Source organism: Homo sapiens, chromosome 22, assembly GCF_000001405.40.
Source record: "Homo sapiens chromosome 22, GRCh38.p14 Primary Assembly".
Lineage (NCBI taxonomy): Eukaryota > Metazoa > Chordata > Mammalia > Primates > Hominidae > Homo > Homo sapiens.
In genome coordinates, this window is record NC_000022.11 from 27555762 (window position 1) to 27572110 (window position 16349).

The 16349-nt window shown below is 49.8% G+C and overlaps 1 long non-coding RNA gene across 1 annotated transcript in view, besides 1 other annotated feature; it reads right to left on the reverse strand.

The window, feature by feature from the left end:
- The window catches only part of LOC105372981 (uncharacterized), a 56572-nt gene extending 50843 nt beyond the window's left edge, over positions 1–5729 (reverse strand). The window contains exon 1 of the long non-coding RNA XR_938124.2: positions 5595–5729. This is a non-coding gene — a long non-coding RNA (uncharacterized LOC105372981). The remainder of the gene's footprint in view (positions 1–5594) is intronic.
- Positions 5713–6212: an enhancer, noted in NCBI's record as "H3K4me1 hESC enhancer chr22:27957435-27957934 (GRCh37/hg19 assembly coordinates)". NCBI's record gives its function as "activates a minimal SCP1, AML or CMV promoter by ChIP-STARR-seq in naive H9 embryonic stem cells {active_cell/tissue: H9 hESC(naive)}" and the evidence as "EXISTENCE:reporter gene assay evidence [ECO:0000049][PMID:30033119]".

The following is a 16349-nucleotide window of genomic DNA, read 5'->3' on the forward strand; positions in this document are numbered from 1 at the left end:
TAAAGCAGTGATTTGTGCAGAGAAGGAAGATAAAGCTGAAAAGGGGGTTAGGTAGTGACAGATGGGGAATCAGGGAAGACTTCTCAGAGGTGGTGTTTAAAGCAGAAACTTGAACGGAGAAGGGGGCAGCCCTGTGAGGACCTGGGGGAAGGACATTCCAGGCAAAGGGAACAGCCAGCGCACAGGGAACACAGTTGGCATATTCGAGGGACAGCAAAAGTTCCGGGGAGGTGTGAATGGAGCAAATAGGAGGGAGACAGGCAGTAGTTGTGGGTAACAGGGGCTGGGTTATGAGGGCCTTGAGATGGGGGTCATCGGAAAGTTCTGAGCAGATGGGGGAGATCCGACACATGGATTCAAGGCTTCCCTCTGCTTTGTGAAGAGGAAGGACTGAAGGGCCCGGGGAGAAGCAGGGAGCAGAGACAGGCCACTGCAGGTGCCAGGTAAAAGGTGTAGGGAGGGGGTGAGAGCTGGTGGCCTTGAGATGTGTTTTTGTTTTGTTTGTTTGTTTGTTTGTTTTGAGCCGGAGTCTCACTCTTGTCACCCAGGCTGGAATGCAATGGTGCGATCTCGGCTCACTGCAACATCCGCCTCCCAGGTTCAAGCAATTCTCCTGCCTCAGCCTCCCGAGTACCTGGGATTGCAGGCACCCACCACCACGCCTGGCTAATTTTGATTTTTAGTAGAGATGGGATTTCACCATGTTGGCCAGCCTGATCTCAAACTCTTGACTTCAAGCGATTTGCCCACCCCGGCCTCCCAAAGTGCGGGGATTATAGGCGTGAGTCACTGCACCACTCGAGATGTTTTAAAGATGAAGTTGCCGAGGTCGAGCACGGGGTGGTGGGTAGGAGAAGATTCAAGGATGCCTCCCAGTATGGGGCCTGTGTGATGGAAGCAAAATGAGGCCAACTGCTATAGGGTCTGGGGATGGAGTGGGTTGTGTAGGGAACAAAGCAGGACTGGAAGTGGGCTGGTTGCAAGGTTGGTACCGGTTCCTCAATCCACGTGGCAACTGTTGGAACATCCTCACCAGGTTGGCATTGGCTTTGGCTTCCACTTACACCGCTCGGATGGTGGGGAGCTCATCACCCACCCAGGGAGCCAGTTTCACTGTCAGAAACACATCCTTTAAGCTGCACTCCTCTCTGCTTTCCTGAGCTCTCCCTCCACCTGGCCCCAGCACAGCACTCATCATGGAGTTCTAGAATCCATGAGAGAAAACAAAGAGAGGAGGTAAAAGAGGGAGAGAAAGAGAATGGGCCAGGGACTTCAGCTCACAGAATCTCCCTTTTTCCTCCATGCTACTCCACTACAATGATGTCACTACCCTCACAGAACAGACAGGGGGCTGTGGTTCAGAGAGGTGAACCGACTCACCCAAGGCGCCTCAGGAAGTAAATGGCAGAGGTGAGATTCCAGCCTCAAGATCCCATACAGTCTCTGAACAGAACTGACTGGGGTGTTCGTGTTGTCCAGCCCCCTGCCTCGCACCAGGCACGAAGAGAGGTGAGTACGAAACCCAGGGCAGCCTCCTCCTTCGATGCTGAAATACAACCCATCTGTGCAAAGATGGGGCCAGACAGTTTCCAGGCCCCTCTGCCTTGGGGGAACTTAGAGAAATGATTTGAGGCCCACAGTCTCCTACATCAGTGGGGCCTACGATGATCTCTCCTGACACCTGGACCAACCTGGCTTGCTGATCTGTCTGCCGGTTCAAAGTCCAATGCCCAACCCCAGCACCCAGCAGAGACCCTTGGCACACAGTAGACACTCAATAAACATTGTTGGGTACGTATCTGAATCATAGGATGAAGTCATGACCTGTGTGTGTTCCTTCCTCCCTAAAGAAGAAAAGATCAAACCATATATATATATATATAAAGAAAATCAATCCATCCATCCCAGAGTTTCTATTGCAGGGGCCAAGACTGAGCAAGTACGCCAAGTTGAGCCAGGACAGAGAGACAGCGTCAGCCCCACTGTGAGCCACCGATAAGAGGGGGTTGGCTGGGGAATCCAGACGGCTTGTCTATCAGCCTATTAAACACCATTCTTACAAGTTTTTTTCCCTCCTCCCTTTTCATTAATACGGAGGGTGAATAGAACATTGAATAAAAATCAGCCCTTGCCACACAATTGTGGGATTGAAAGGTAACTGTCAACAGAAGGATTTGGGTGACAAAGGGAATGGTTTCGGCGCTTAGCAAATGATTTTCGGCTTGTCATTTCAATGGGCTGTGTTTTTCAGAGATTGTGGGGTGGGTTTTTCTCTACTTTTTTTCTTTTTTTTTTTTTGAATAGCATTTATTACCATGCTTTTAAAAATTGTGTGTGTGTGTGTGTGTGTGTGTGTGTGTGCGCCTGTGTTGTCTTTTTCCAGACGCCCTTCCTTCACAGATGCCGTGTTCCCCTCCTCCTGGGTCTCACAAATGCGTCTTTCTCCAAAAATAAAATGAGATAAAATAAGACACACAACAGCTCTGGGAGGCCAAGGAGGGGAGAAGATGTTTTGTGAGGAATGGATAGTGGCAGTGTGGGGGACAGAGGGCAAGGGGGCCCGGAGAGGGAGAAGGGCACGGCTGGGGGGGGCTTCAACCCTGACCTGTGGCTCCCAGGCCAGCTATAGCCTCGAGCCTCGCTGGTGGCCATGTCTCTCTCAGGGCAGAGATTAGTGACACCCCCTTAGCATCAAGATGCAACGCCTCTGTGGACTGGGTGGGGGTCAGTGTCAGGCAGCCCCCACTCCCTGGCCAGACTCCACCATTGCCCTCAGAGCAGCTCAAGAGAGCTCTCGATCTATAAAGAAGAGGTGTCCCTGCATCCAGCAACGTTGTGGGGGGACAACACATCCCTCGGAGACAGCTTGAAGCCAGCACTCCAAGTGGACAAGAATCCTGAGGGGCAGGACATCAGAGAAAGCACACCCGCCTCAGTTAAAATACCAGAATGATGCTTTCCACACCTCCAAGTAAAAGTACGCATGCTTTTAAAGAGCTATTCAAAAATCTCCCTCCTCTCTGAATGGCCTATGATCAGGGTGAAAACTAGGAGATCCATGTTTATTGCAGTCTCCAGGACTCAGTTTCTCTCATCTGTGAAATGGGCCAGTGGGACCCAATCATGGTTCAAAACATTAAAAAAAACCAGCAGACCCATTAGAGAAATGCAAATTTAAACCACAATGAGCTATCACCACTCCCCTGTCAGAATGGCTAAAATAAAAAAAAAAAAAAAAAAAGTGGCAACACCAAATGACAGTGAGGATGAGGGAAAACGGGCTCCCTCTCACGCTGTACAGTGGGGAAGATAGGTTGGCAGTTTCTTTAAAAAGTAAATATTCTACCACGCAACCCAGCAATTGCACTCCTGGGCACTGATCCCAGAGAAATGAAGACTTATGTTCACATAAAAACCTGTACATGAATGTTTATAGCAGTTTTATTCGTAATAGCCCAAAACTGGAAACCACCCAGGTGCCCTTCAACAGGTGACTGGGTTAACACACTGTGACACAGCTACATCATGGAATATGACTTAGCGGTAACAAGGAACGATTATCGATACACACGACAACCTGGATGGATCGATGGGAAATTATGTCCAATCCAAAAAGCAAAACCCAGAGAAGTTACATGCTGTATGTACATTTACATTCCATTGTGAAAATGACAAAATTATGGACACGGAGAACGGATTAGTGGTTGCCAGGAGTTAAGGAGGTGGTGGAGGCAGGAGATAAGTGGGCGTGGCTGCTAGAAAAGGGCCACCTGAGGGATGGAAATGTTTTGTATCTTGAAATGTTTTGTATCTGTATCAACGTCAATATCAAGGTTGGGACATTAGACTTTTTGCAAGATGTCATCACTAGGGAAAACTAGGTAAAGGATACACGGTATCTCTGTATCATTTCTTACAACAGAATGCAACTCTACGATTATCTCAAAATAAAAAGATTTATTTAAAAATAAAAATAAAAACCACAGAGCCCATTCTACAAGTAGAATGTTATGAGGCCCATATGTGTGCCGGGTGCACACGAAGACACTCTTGTTGAACTGAATGCCTGGCCCACAGCCCCCACTCCGTCTTTCAGGGTTACCAGCAGTTTGGAGACCCACCGGATCTAGGGTCCCCAGGGTATTCCCCAGCTCCAGAATGTGCAGGCTCTGGGAAGTGTCACTGGCAGGCATGCCAGCCCTGTTAGTGTCACTGGCGGGCATGCCAGCTATGGGTTCCCATAGCTTACATGTTTGGGCTCCAGACGGCCAGAAACTTTTGGTACTTTCAGCTGGTGTGGCCACTCACCACCTGGGCCCTGTGGGGGTTGCAGGCTGCAAGTGAGTGAACAAGGCACGCCAGGCCAAGAGAGAAGGGACAGCATCTTCCCTGGAGTGCTGAGGTCTGTCTAGCCTTTCCATGTGGGTGGGCCACACCATGCCCATACCCACACCGTACCCCTCGGTGGCTATCTCTCCAGCACCGCCCTCCTCCCAAACCTTCAGCCACAGAGCCACATCCTCACCTCTCCAACCCAGCTGCCCCACCTCCCGGCGGGCTGCGATGAGACTGGCAGAGAGTTATGGGAAAGCCCAAAATAGGGTACAGGAGAAGCGCCCAGCATGTGGGGAATCGGGCACCTGCCTCCTGCTCCAGACTCTACCGCCCACTCACTCACTGCCCAGTGGAGTACAAGACACATCCCTTCTCCTCTTTGAGCTTCTGTGTCCACATCTGCAACTGAGCACGCACTCAGCAAAGAAATTAATATTTATTAAGCACTGCTTCTGTGTGGGGCATTTTTACCAAGGCGGGAGGGGCTGCATGGATACAACAGGCTCAGTTCACTCTCCACTAGGGGAGTTGGATGTTAAACCAGTTATCACATAAACAAGAAAATTTCACAACAAAACAAGGTGACTTAGCAGGAGTGGTGTCAGGGGCCTATCTGGAGAGGGGAGGTTTGAAGAGGACACGACAACCTGGATGGATCAATAGAAAATTATGTCCAATCCAAAAAGTAAAACCCATAGAAGTTACACATTGCATGATTCCATTTACATTCCACTGTGAAAATGACAACGCTATAGAAATGGAGAACGGATTAGTGGTTGCCAGGAGTTAAGGAGGTGGTAGCAGCAGGAGGCAAGTGGGCAACGTCAAGGTCTGGGGGGAGGAGGTTCCACAGAAAAGGAGAGTATGTGCAAAGGCCCTGGGGTCCAGGCAAGCTCAGCATGCTTGTGGCACAGAGACAAGGCTGGTGTCACTGCAAGGGAGTGGGAGAGGACAGAGTTGCAAGACCTCGGGTCCCACAGGAAGAAGGGGTCTGATCCTGAGGGGCCTGGGGGGCCAAGCGTGGGGAAGAGTCTAGTTTTCCTTCTCTGGAGAGGGAGAAGGCACTGCAGGGGCTGATCTCATGTGTGCTTTAACAAGATCACTCACTGTCTGCAGTGGTAAGCAGGAGGACATGAACAGAGCAGGGAAACCTTACCTGGTTACCTGGGACCTTGCAGGTGAGGTTTTATGGATCCCACAAGCTGCAAAGTATTGTTAATGCACATGACCCCAGCCAGCCTTTAACCAGCCCAACTCACCAGCTGTTGGTCCAACCCAGCTGCTGCCAGTGGCTTGAACCTCCCAGGTGTCCCAAGGACATAATCGTGACAGCAGCCCCAAGGGTCAGCCCCAGTGGTCACGGTCCAGATGTGCCAGCTGCTGGGTGGAATTAGGGCTCATCTTTCAGGACTAAACATATTTCTGAGTGTGTCCGCGAGGCGTTTCTGCAAGAGACTGCCATTGAAATTGGCGGGCTGAGTAAAGATGGCCCTGCCCCATGAGGATGGGGAGGGCCTGGATAGAACAAAAGGGTGGAGGAGAGCTGAATTCCTTTGGCCTGACTGCTTGAGCTGGGACACTGGTCTTTTTCCTGCCCTCTTGCTCCAAGTTCTCAGGTCTTTGGACACCAACAAGAATCTATACCATCGGCTCTCAGGCCTTCAGCCTACGCCACTGGCCCTCCTCCATCTCCAGCTTGCAGATGGCAGATTCCCCCCGGGACTCCTCAGCCTCCACAATTGCATGAGCCAAAACCTTATAATAAATCTCCTCATATATGTTTATATATAAACCTCTTTCTATATATAAATCTTTTAAGTATATATTTTATATAAAAATCTCTATATATATTCATATATGTGTTTATGCTTTTCTCTTCTATTGGTTTTGGCTTTCTAGAGAACGCCGATGAATATAGCTGCCTTTCTGGCCCAGTTGTGTTTGCTCCACACAGCCCAGAGCAGAGAATTCTGCCCCTGAAGTAGGGCTTGGCTGCAAGCTTCGACTTCACCCTGGAGAATCCTGGGGGTTCAGGCTTTTAACGTAGAAAGAAAAGTTGGCTGGGTGCGGTGGCTCATGCTTGTAATCTCAGCACTTTGGGAGACCAAGGCGGGCAAATCACAAGTTCAGTAGTTCGAGACCAGCCTGGCCAACACAGTGAAACCCCGTCTCTACTAAATTAGCTGGGCGTGGTGGCAGGCACCTGTAGTCCCAGCTACTTGGGAGGCTGAGGCAGGAGAATCACTTGAACCCGGGAGGCGGAGGTTGCCATGAGCCGAGATCGCGCCACTGCACTCCAGCCTGGGTGACAGTGCGAGACTCCATCTCAAAAAAAAAAAAGAAAGAAAAGCTCTGACCCTCCCCAGGCTCTGGAATATGCCTTGGCTTCCCCACTTGCAAGGGGAAGAAAGGTCAGATGATCTTCCAAGCCCCTTTGCTGAAATTCCAAGAATCTCCCATGCATCTGTAGTAATAAGGTCTGTCACTGAGTGAGCACCTACTGTATTCCCCTCATGCTACCTGCCCTGCATGCAATGGCTCACTCAGTCTTCACAAGCTCCTCCCAAGGCAGGTGAGGCTAGCATCCACACTGAACAGGTGAGAACATCAAGGCACGGAGAACCTGAGTCACTTGCTTCAGGTCACACAGCTGATACGTGGCACCACTGGAATTTGATCTAATGTCTAGCTGACCCCGAGTCTGTCCCCTTAACCACTCTCCTATGTGGCTCCTCGATCATTAACCAAAACCCCCAAAATTGTGATTGACACCCATTTGTTCATTCATAGAAGATGGATTGAGGTCCACTACATGCCTTGTAGGTGCCAAGCCTCCTGGATGTTGAACAGTGAACGCAGCAGAGAGAACTTGCTGCCTCCACGAAATTTATATTCTAGTTGAGGGGAGGAAGATAATAAATAAGTAGGTGATATGGCAGAAGGTGAAAAGTGCCGTCAAGCAGGGAATAAAGCAGGGAAGGGCGATGGGAAGTCCTGGGGCCAGGATAATAACTTAAGAGGGTGGCCAGGGAGACCGTGTGGAGAAGGTGGCAGAAGTCACATTGGGAAGGAGATGAGGAAGATGGCCCTGCAGATGTCTGGACCTGGAACAGTCATGGCAGGGGGAATAGCAAATGCAAGGCCTGAGGCAGAAGGTGTCAGGGAGCCAGGAGGAGGCTGAGGTGTTGGGGCGGGACCTGAGAGATGGGTGAAGGCAGGGAAGTGTGGGTGTCCGGAGCACATTGGCGCTGTCGGTGAGAGGGGGTTCTGGGAAGGTGTGCAGCAGATGATGTCTTGTGCAGACTCATGCCTTAGGGTCCCTCTGGCTGCTGGAGCTGAAGATAGGCTACTGGGAGACAAGGATGGAGGTAGGAACGCCTTCAAGGAGGCTGCCACAATAATCCAGAGGAGTGACAATGGTGGCTCCAGCCAGGGTCATCAGGGGCCTCTCCTGCCTCCATCCCTCTGCCCTGGGAGTGGTTTTAAAGGGGTCTCCGCTGACACTCACTCCCACTGCTGCACCGTCTCCCGGGGCTTCCCCCCTCTCTGCCCTCCCCAAGGCACTGGTCATCAAGGCCACAGCTGGAGTCTCTTCCAGACCTTTGAGCTCCAGGTCAGGCACAGAGCAGCCACTTGGCAAATGTCGGCGCTCGTTCATCATTATGGAAGGTCCATACCTTGGCGAGAGAGAAAGGCGTGCAGAAAGAATCCTAGTCCCCGAAAGCTCTGGAGTCAGACAGGTCTGGGTTCCAATCCTGATTCTGCCGCATCCTCGCTGCGGGACCCTGGCCACATCGTTCTTCTCTCTGAGGCTCAGTGTCCCCATCTGTAAAATGAAGAGGGCCACTCAGGGTCACACTCTCCACCCAGAGCTCATCTTTGACTTCTCTTTGGAGATAACCTGACTCACCGGCGCCTACTCTTCAATGTCTTCCCAAACAGGCCCTACAACGCATACAGTGCCCCTGCCACCCCCTGGCCAGAGTTCGTGGCCACCTCAGGGCTCCGGGCTGCTGCAGCTGAGCACCCCACGAGGACAGGACATGGGCCTCGCTCTCCTCCTCTGTGCAACGGGCACCGCACCACCTGGCTCATAGCTGTCTTCAGTGATTCCTAGGGATGATGAACACAAAGTGCCTCATCCTGGGCTCAGGATCAGTGAAGCTCCCCATGAGAAAGCTACACAAAGATGGAGGTGGAACTAGAGTGATGTGGCCACAAGCCAAGGAATGCCTGGAGTCATCGTAAGCTGGCAGAGGCCAGAAAGCGTCCTCCCTGGGCCCTTTGGACAAAGCACAGCTCTTCCAGCATCTTGATTTTGGTTCTGGCCTCTAGAACTGTAAGAAAATTAATTTTTGTTATTTTTAAGCCACTAATTTTATGGTCATTTTTTATAGCAGCAACAGGAAACTAGTAACAGTTTTGGTTCACCTAATATTCCTGCATCACTATGATTGTGAATTACAGCTGCTGGCACATCTGTCTTTCCTCTAGACTGTGAATGTCTAGAATACAAGGACTACGTTTGGAGATCTACAGATAAGTGGGGTTGCCTAACCACTCTGCACTAGAGAAAGTCAGCCCCTGCTGGGCCAGGCTGGAAGAGACTTCAGAAGCCGTAGGAACAATCTCCTTAGGTCAGGACCAGAGGGTGGCAGGTCTTGAACCCAGGGCCCTGGACCCCACCCACAGCTCCTGCCAAGCAGACCTGCAGCCCCCAAGGGCACATCACCTTTTCAGCCAGCAATTTAAGGCCCTGCCTGAGTGCAGACTCAGAGAGAGGGAGAGAAGGAGAGAGGAGACTTGAGGATCTCGATGGACTTGTGGTTCATTCAGTCAAGTCTTTGAGAGAGAGTGCATTTTATTAGTACCAAAGAATTGAGTGCTGTGATTCATGAGACTCAGAAAGAATTGGCTCCATGCCCTGTGCCCATTGACAGGTGAGCTGGAATTATAGGCTGGTGGAGAGAGTTTGCCTGTGGGTTTCTGGGAGGGAAGTGAACTACTTATGCCAGCCACTCTCTCCACCCCCCAAACACACCATCTTCCAAGCGCATCTTCTGATGCCACATTCCAATCCCTATGCCAGGTGGGAGATGTCCTGCAGTTTGTTGCCTCCTGCCTCTTCCTGGCAAAGCTTAGACTAAGGCCTTCAACATGGTTCCAGTGTCTTGTCATGATGGCTTCTGGTCAGCCCCAGGATGTGGTAGCCCTGGGGAAAGCCTTGGGGTCCCCTTTGATGCCCCAAGAAATCATTCATAGCGATTAAGGGAGGTTATTGCCAAGCACGTGCTTGATTGACATTGGATGGATGAATGGATAGATGGGTGAGTGGGTGGATGGGTGGACGGATGGATGGGTGGGTGGGTGGGTGATTGCATGGATGAATGGATGGATGGATGGATGGATAGATGGATGGATGATGGATGGATGAAAGGAAGAAAAAATAAATGGATGGATAGATGGGGGTGGATGAATGAATGGATGGGTGGATGGATGGATGGATGGATGGATGGAAGCAAGGAAAAATAAATGGATGGATAGATGGAGGGGTGGAAGGATGGATGAAGGGATGGGTGGAAGGAAAAATAAATGGATGGATGGATGGATGGGTGCATGGATGCATGGATGGGTGGATGGATGGAAGGAAGGGTGAGTGGGTGGGTGGGTGTATGGATGAACAGAAGGAAGGAAGGGAGAAAGGAAGGATGGATGGAAAGATGAATGGGTAGGTGGGTAAGGAAATGCATGAATGAAAAAATGAGTGGATGAGTGAATGAGTGAATTATTTCAAAGTTAAACAACCCCAGTTTCAAATTACTTTCCCACTAACATCTGTGTGACTTGTTCAAGTTACTTCTCACCTCGAGCCTCAGTTTCCTCAGTTGTAAAATGGGGGTCACGTTGCCCAGCTGATGATGCTCATCCATAAAATGAGAGTGATGGTGCTGTGAGTTCTAACAACATTATGCATATAAAGAGACTGGTCCAATTTTCATCACGCCCTTCTCAGAGTCTCCTGGAAGTGGCAAATCTGGCACACAGTAAGTCCTCAGGAATAATGAGTTAGCCTTAAGTCAGCTTAAGGGGGATGACTTTTAGGCCTCAAATCACCTGGTTCCCCTGAGGTCTCTAAGGTCTCTGAAAGCCCTTTCCTCTATGAAGTTGGAGAGGATTTCTGATGTTGACTTCCCCTGTAGTGTGAGAGGAGCCAAGTTGGAGCATGTACCCTGCTTCCCTCAAGGTCATGTCCAACACCACCCCAAGCCTTGTTCTCTAGGGGACCCAGAGCATGCACTTCCCAGCTGACCTCTCCACAAGTAGGACCTGTAAAAGTAGCAGCCCTTTTCCTCTACCACCCCCAGAGTGGTAGAGAAGAGGGCACAGGAAGAACAGAAACAGGCCAGTGCACTCTACCACTCTAGAGGACCAGAAAAGTTTCCTGCCATCCCAACCATCAGCAAAGGGAATATCTGGGGGCTTGGGGAATTTTCCAACTGGGCTTCAAATCCACAATTCTTGTGCACGATGCAGGAAAACGTACAGATTTAGGAGTCAGGCAGAACTCACGTTGGCTCACAGGGTGTATACGCCACTCCAAAAGATTGTGTGAGCTGTCATGGGCCGAAGAGATGTGAATTATGAAAAGCGTTCTACCACGTAAGAATAGAAATTCTCAACCCATCACCCAGGACACAGGCTGAGTGTCCCCAGTGTGAGCAACAGAGGTCATGTGAGTGAGCCTGGTGGATGAAAAAAGGTGTGAAATCATTGTTCTCACCTCTCCGCCTGCTCTATTATAGCAAGCATCAGAGGTTCTGCTGGGAAGACCTGCCATATTCTGGGATAAAGCTGCCCCATTGCAAAGTCCTGAAGGGTTAGCCCACGAATGGCCCCAGCTCTTCCTATCCAATCCTTCCTTCTAGAATAAAACAGCAGAGGACTTTCTTCTCCCTCCAGACGCATCCTCTAACAGGGGCCCCAGGAAAGAGCTCCCAGAATAATTGAATAATCCCAGACGAGTGTGAACAGCAGTCGAGGAGGTGTGTGGAGGAGGAACCCAAGGTGAAATTTATTTCTGTCAACTGGTGGTCTATTTCCCTGATACCATTTCCTTGTATACAGATAAGGAGTTATCTTAAATGACCATGTCTTTTTCAATTTGTACTTAACAGTCAATCCCATTTTCCTTATATGATACTATCGCAGCTGGATGAAAAATGCATTCAATAATCCCTAAGGATCTTCATATATCAATATCAAATGGTCTGAAATTGACCTGTTATAAAATCCAGTCCTTCAAGCTAGCAAGAGACTAAATCAAAAAGAAGCAAATTTTAGCATTCACGGTGTTTTGCGTAAGCTGAATGCTCTAGCACCAAAGCCCATGTTTTCCAGGGCCTTAAAGAGAATAAATGCTTATTCATTAAAAAACAAAAAACAAAAAAAAATTGCCTGAAAGATATATCTGGATTATTGATACATCTGCCTAATGAATGAAGCTTCTTCAAGGGTCACACCTGGCAGAAATACTAATGAGCAGGGGGTGTTAACAATATCCTTCCAGTGAAAGTTCATAGGAACTCCAGGTTTGTGCTCCAAGCTGAAGAATGTTGTGGAGCCCTTGGGGAGGGAAACATCAGGAGAGAAGGCACAGATGTGCACTTCACAGAATTGTCTGTTCGTGTGTCTTGATCCCTTCTCAGTAGTAAATACGTAATAGGTATTCTTCCAAAGCTTATTTGATGGCTTGATGTGAGCGGTTAAACTAAGAGGGGTTAGTTCACAGCTCTTCATCCGCTCTTAGCAAGTCATCAGGAATTCTACTGGGCAGAGCGATTTTCTTCCTGGCTATATAGCTGGTGTGCTCTGAAGTCTCCCAGATTCACTCTCTTAATTGAAAGAAACTCACGCCTGTAATCCCAGCTCTTTGGGAGGCAGAGGCAGGTGGATTACTTGAGGTCAGGAGTTCAAGACCAGCCTGGCCAACATGGTGAAACCCCGTCTCTACTAAAAATACAAAAATTAGTTAGGCATGGTGCCATGCATCTCTAGTCCCAGTTACTCAGGAGGCTGAGGCAGGAGAATCACTTGAAACCTTGAACCGGGAGGCAGAGGTTGCAGTGAGCTGAGATCTTGCCACTGCACTCCAGCCTGGGTGACAGAGCAAGACTTTGTCAAAGAAAGAGAGAAAGAGAAAGACAGAAAGAGAGAAGGAAGGAAGGAAGGAAGGAAGGAAGGAAGGAAGGAAGGAAGAAGGAAGGGCTACATTGTATCTTATTTAATTTTCAGAAGAACCTTCTGACATTAGAAATAAAGAAATGGAAGGTCGGGGCAGTAATGGGACTTTCATAGGGCCACATCCCTAATGGCAGAGCTTGAGTTCAAGCCCAGGCCCTCTGAACCCAGAGATCATGCCCATAACCACTGCACAGTTCACCGCAGGAGGTGCTTAATTAATATTTGCCACTTAGAGGAGCGGGAGCGAATGCAAGGGGGAGGAGAATGGTGGCACTAATGATGCCTCAGAGAGTCTGGGCTTCTCAGGGTCAGAGACAGGAAAGTAAGGTCCCCATTGTTGGGGCAATCAGGGCAGGCTTCATGTAAAAGGTGGGTTAACCAGGGCCCAAAAGGGGACGGATGCTGGAAGGGTTCTGTTTGGTGCCCTGATGTCTCACCCTTGCTGCCAGTTTGGCAACATGCTGGAATCTGCGGGGAACCAGGATATAGAAGACGTGGATATTGTCCTCAGGCAGATCCAGGTTAAGAATCGGAGCACCACAGAGGTGGGACAGAACGGCAACCTCCAAGTTGAAGGTAAGCTCCCTTTTACAGAAAGATGGGAGATATAGGGGAACCAGACAGGCTGGGTCCAAATTCCAGCATGACCACCCTCAAGCCTGTGACCCTGGGCAACTGACATCACCTCCCTGAACCTCACAGGTTGGTATCTGGAAAGCAGGGCAACAAAACCAACCTTGAGTGATGGTGAGCCCAAAAAAATCACGTGGGAGAAATGCCCAGCGCTTATCAGGCGCTCACCAAACACCGGCTCCTTTCTTATTCTGCAGGGAACATCAGCTCCATGAGGCCAGAGATGGCATCTGCCTTGTTCTCTGCTGGGTCCCCAGTGCCAGACACAGGCAGTGCTCAGTGAATAATCAACTAACAGATGGACAGATGGACGGACAGATGGATATGGAGTGACCCAAGCTCCAAACATCCCATCTGAGGGACAATGTCCTACCGTCCCCGTCCCCTCCCAGGGAAAGTGTCCTCCTGTACTTTTAACCAGGGAATCAGCTTTGGGGGTGGGGGTCCTGTGATCCCCAGCCCCAGGCCCTCTCCAGGCTCTTCTGGCTGTTTCACTATAAAGTGCCCAGGTCACCACAAATCCCCACACAGATCTCCAAAGTGTATGAGGACCGGAAATCCGAGAAACTGGAAGTAGCAGCCAGATATCAAACCTGACACATCCTTATCCAGCACTCAAGGATTTGATGAGCCAAACTCCTGTCCACAGGAGGGTGGGAGCAGGCAGTGGCAGGGTGGTGGGAGCAATGAAAGGGTAGCGGGGCTGCCCCCAAAACCTTTATTCAATAAATATCTGGGTACAGGATAACAAGCACAGCCAACAGCCATCAGCACTCTCTGTGCACCAAACACCGTGGTGTGTAGTTTGTAGGCACTTGCTCTCCTACTCATCACAGCACACACCTTGACAAAGACTACTATTTCTTCACTCCTCATGGAGCCCTCCAAGGTTGCACAGCTAGCCAACGGTAGACAAGGATTTGAACTCAGTCTGATTTCACCATTGCCCACCATGCTACGCACACACTCCTCTGTGCCAGGCCTCACTCAGTGTTTGGAAGACACAGATGAAAGATGAGGCTGAGCCCTCTTGGATTCTCCCATTCAGCAAAACGGGCACTGGCTACAGTTCTGCAGATATATTGGCATGTCATGGCATATTCATGTATCCATCACGAATGCTTTGGTGGAGGTGAATACGAAGCTGTTGGAGCAGAAGCACAGACGGCTTCCTGGAGGAGGTGGCATCTAAGGTCTAAGTCATAATAGTAGTAATTGCCACATTTACTGCAAGCTTCCCAGGAAATGGGTAAAATGCTAACGCTTCACTTGCCAAAGGATAGGGATCTGGTCCAAAAAATGGTGTGCTGTTAGCCTTTTCACTTCTTTTTTTTTTTTTTTTTTTTTTTTTTTTTTTTGAGATGGTTTCTTGCTCTGTCGCCCAGGCTGGAGTGCAGTGGCACGATCTCAGCTCACTGCAAGCTCCGCCTCCCAGGTTCACGCCATCCTCCTGCCTCAGCCTCCCGAGTAGCTGGGACTAGAGGTACCCACCACCACACCCGGCTAATTTTTTTGTATTTTTAGTAGAGATGGGGTTTCACCGTGTTAGCCAGAATGGTCTCAATCTCATGACCTCATGATCTGCCCATCTCGGCCTCCCAAAGTGCTGGGATTACAGGCTTGAGCCACTGCACCCGGCCAGCCTTTTCACTTCTAACCATGCAACACTCTCTGACAGCTTCTTGTCTGATTCAGAATAAAACCCAGACTCTGCTGCAGTCTGTATGTGGTGTGCTCCATGCCCATCTCATGGTGCTCTCCCCTTTACCCACTCCACTCCAGCCACGCTGGCCTTCTTCCTCTGCCTTGAACACTTCTGGGTCTTGTCTGCCCCTGGACCGCTACACATGCTGTTCCTCCTGCCTGGAACGGCATTTCTCCAGTTCTCAAGTAATCAGCCTCCTCTTATCTTTGGATCTCAACCCAGAAGTCCTCTCCTCGAAGAGCCCTTCTCTGTCCAGCCCTGTAGTGAAAGTAGCTGCCCCCCAGGTCCCCATCTATGTTTATCCCCTTGGGAAACATACAACTTACAGATGTTTTATAGAGTTGTGTCTTGGCTTGTTTGAGCTGTCTCCCCCATTAGACCTTGGACTCTGGGAGGGCAACAGTTACAGTTACCAAATCTGTCTCAGTCATTGCTCTGTCCTCAGTGCCTGGCATGCAGCAGGTGCTCAATACAGACCTGGCAAATGAATGAATGAATGAATGAATGAACTAATGGCTTCCACATTTGAAGAACTGACATCAGGCAGAGGACTCAGACCTCAGGCTCCCCTTGTGTAGTTCTGAGAAACTGAGCCAGAAGAAATGAGAGGGATAGGCGCAGCAGTGTCATTACGAGTGCGACCTATTCTGTGAAAGAGGGGATCAGGGATGACTTCCTGGAGACACAGCCCAGCTGGGCCCTGACATGACCAGGAATGTGCTAGATCAAGGGAACAGAGGCCACAGGGTCTATCTTCCACATCACGTGTTTTTCCAAGAGTGTTTTCCCAGGACCACCTGCATTAGTATCTCTAGGAAGGGGAAGGTGGGTATTTTTAAAATGCAGGTACCTAGGCCACCTCCCTAGCCTTGTGAATTAGAATCTCCAGGGTTAGGGCCTGGGCATCTGCATTCTCACCAGTTCTCCTACGAGGCTCTGAGCACAGCAGAGTTTGAGCAATACTGTAGTTCTGAAAGTCAGCCAGAAAATCGGGTCTGAAACTATGCCAAGGAGCGAGCCGATGACACCCGATCCAGAGGTCTAGTACCCCTCACCCCCAGATCTTTCTCTCTCTCTCTGCCTGAAAGTGGCACATCTCAGCGCAGCCCTTCCTCCCTTGGGTCACTGGAAAGACCCTGAAAACCCCTCCCTGCTTGGTTCAAAAGGACTTGGGCTGCCCCTGGGTCTCCATAGCCGCACCCCAGGAACCTGCTAAATCAGAGAATGATCTGCAAACACAAAGCAAACATCACTCATCCTGTTTGGTGGTGGGAGAGCTTTTCTTTTCTAAAGAGAAAAAACAATCCCTGATGATTGACTGCATTTTTGCATCTTCCAGCCATTTGTTGCCATGTAATATAGACATTTGCCTGTCAACAAAAACGCCGTCAGTTTTACAAACACGCTTCTTCTACTGGCTTCGTTGGGGGGAGTG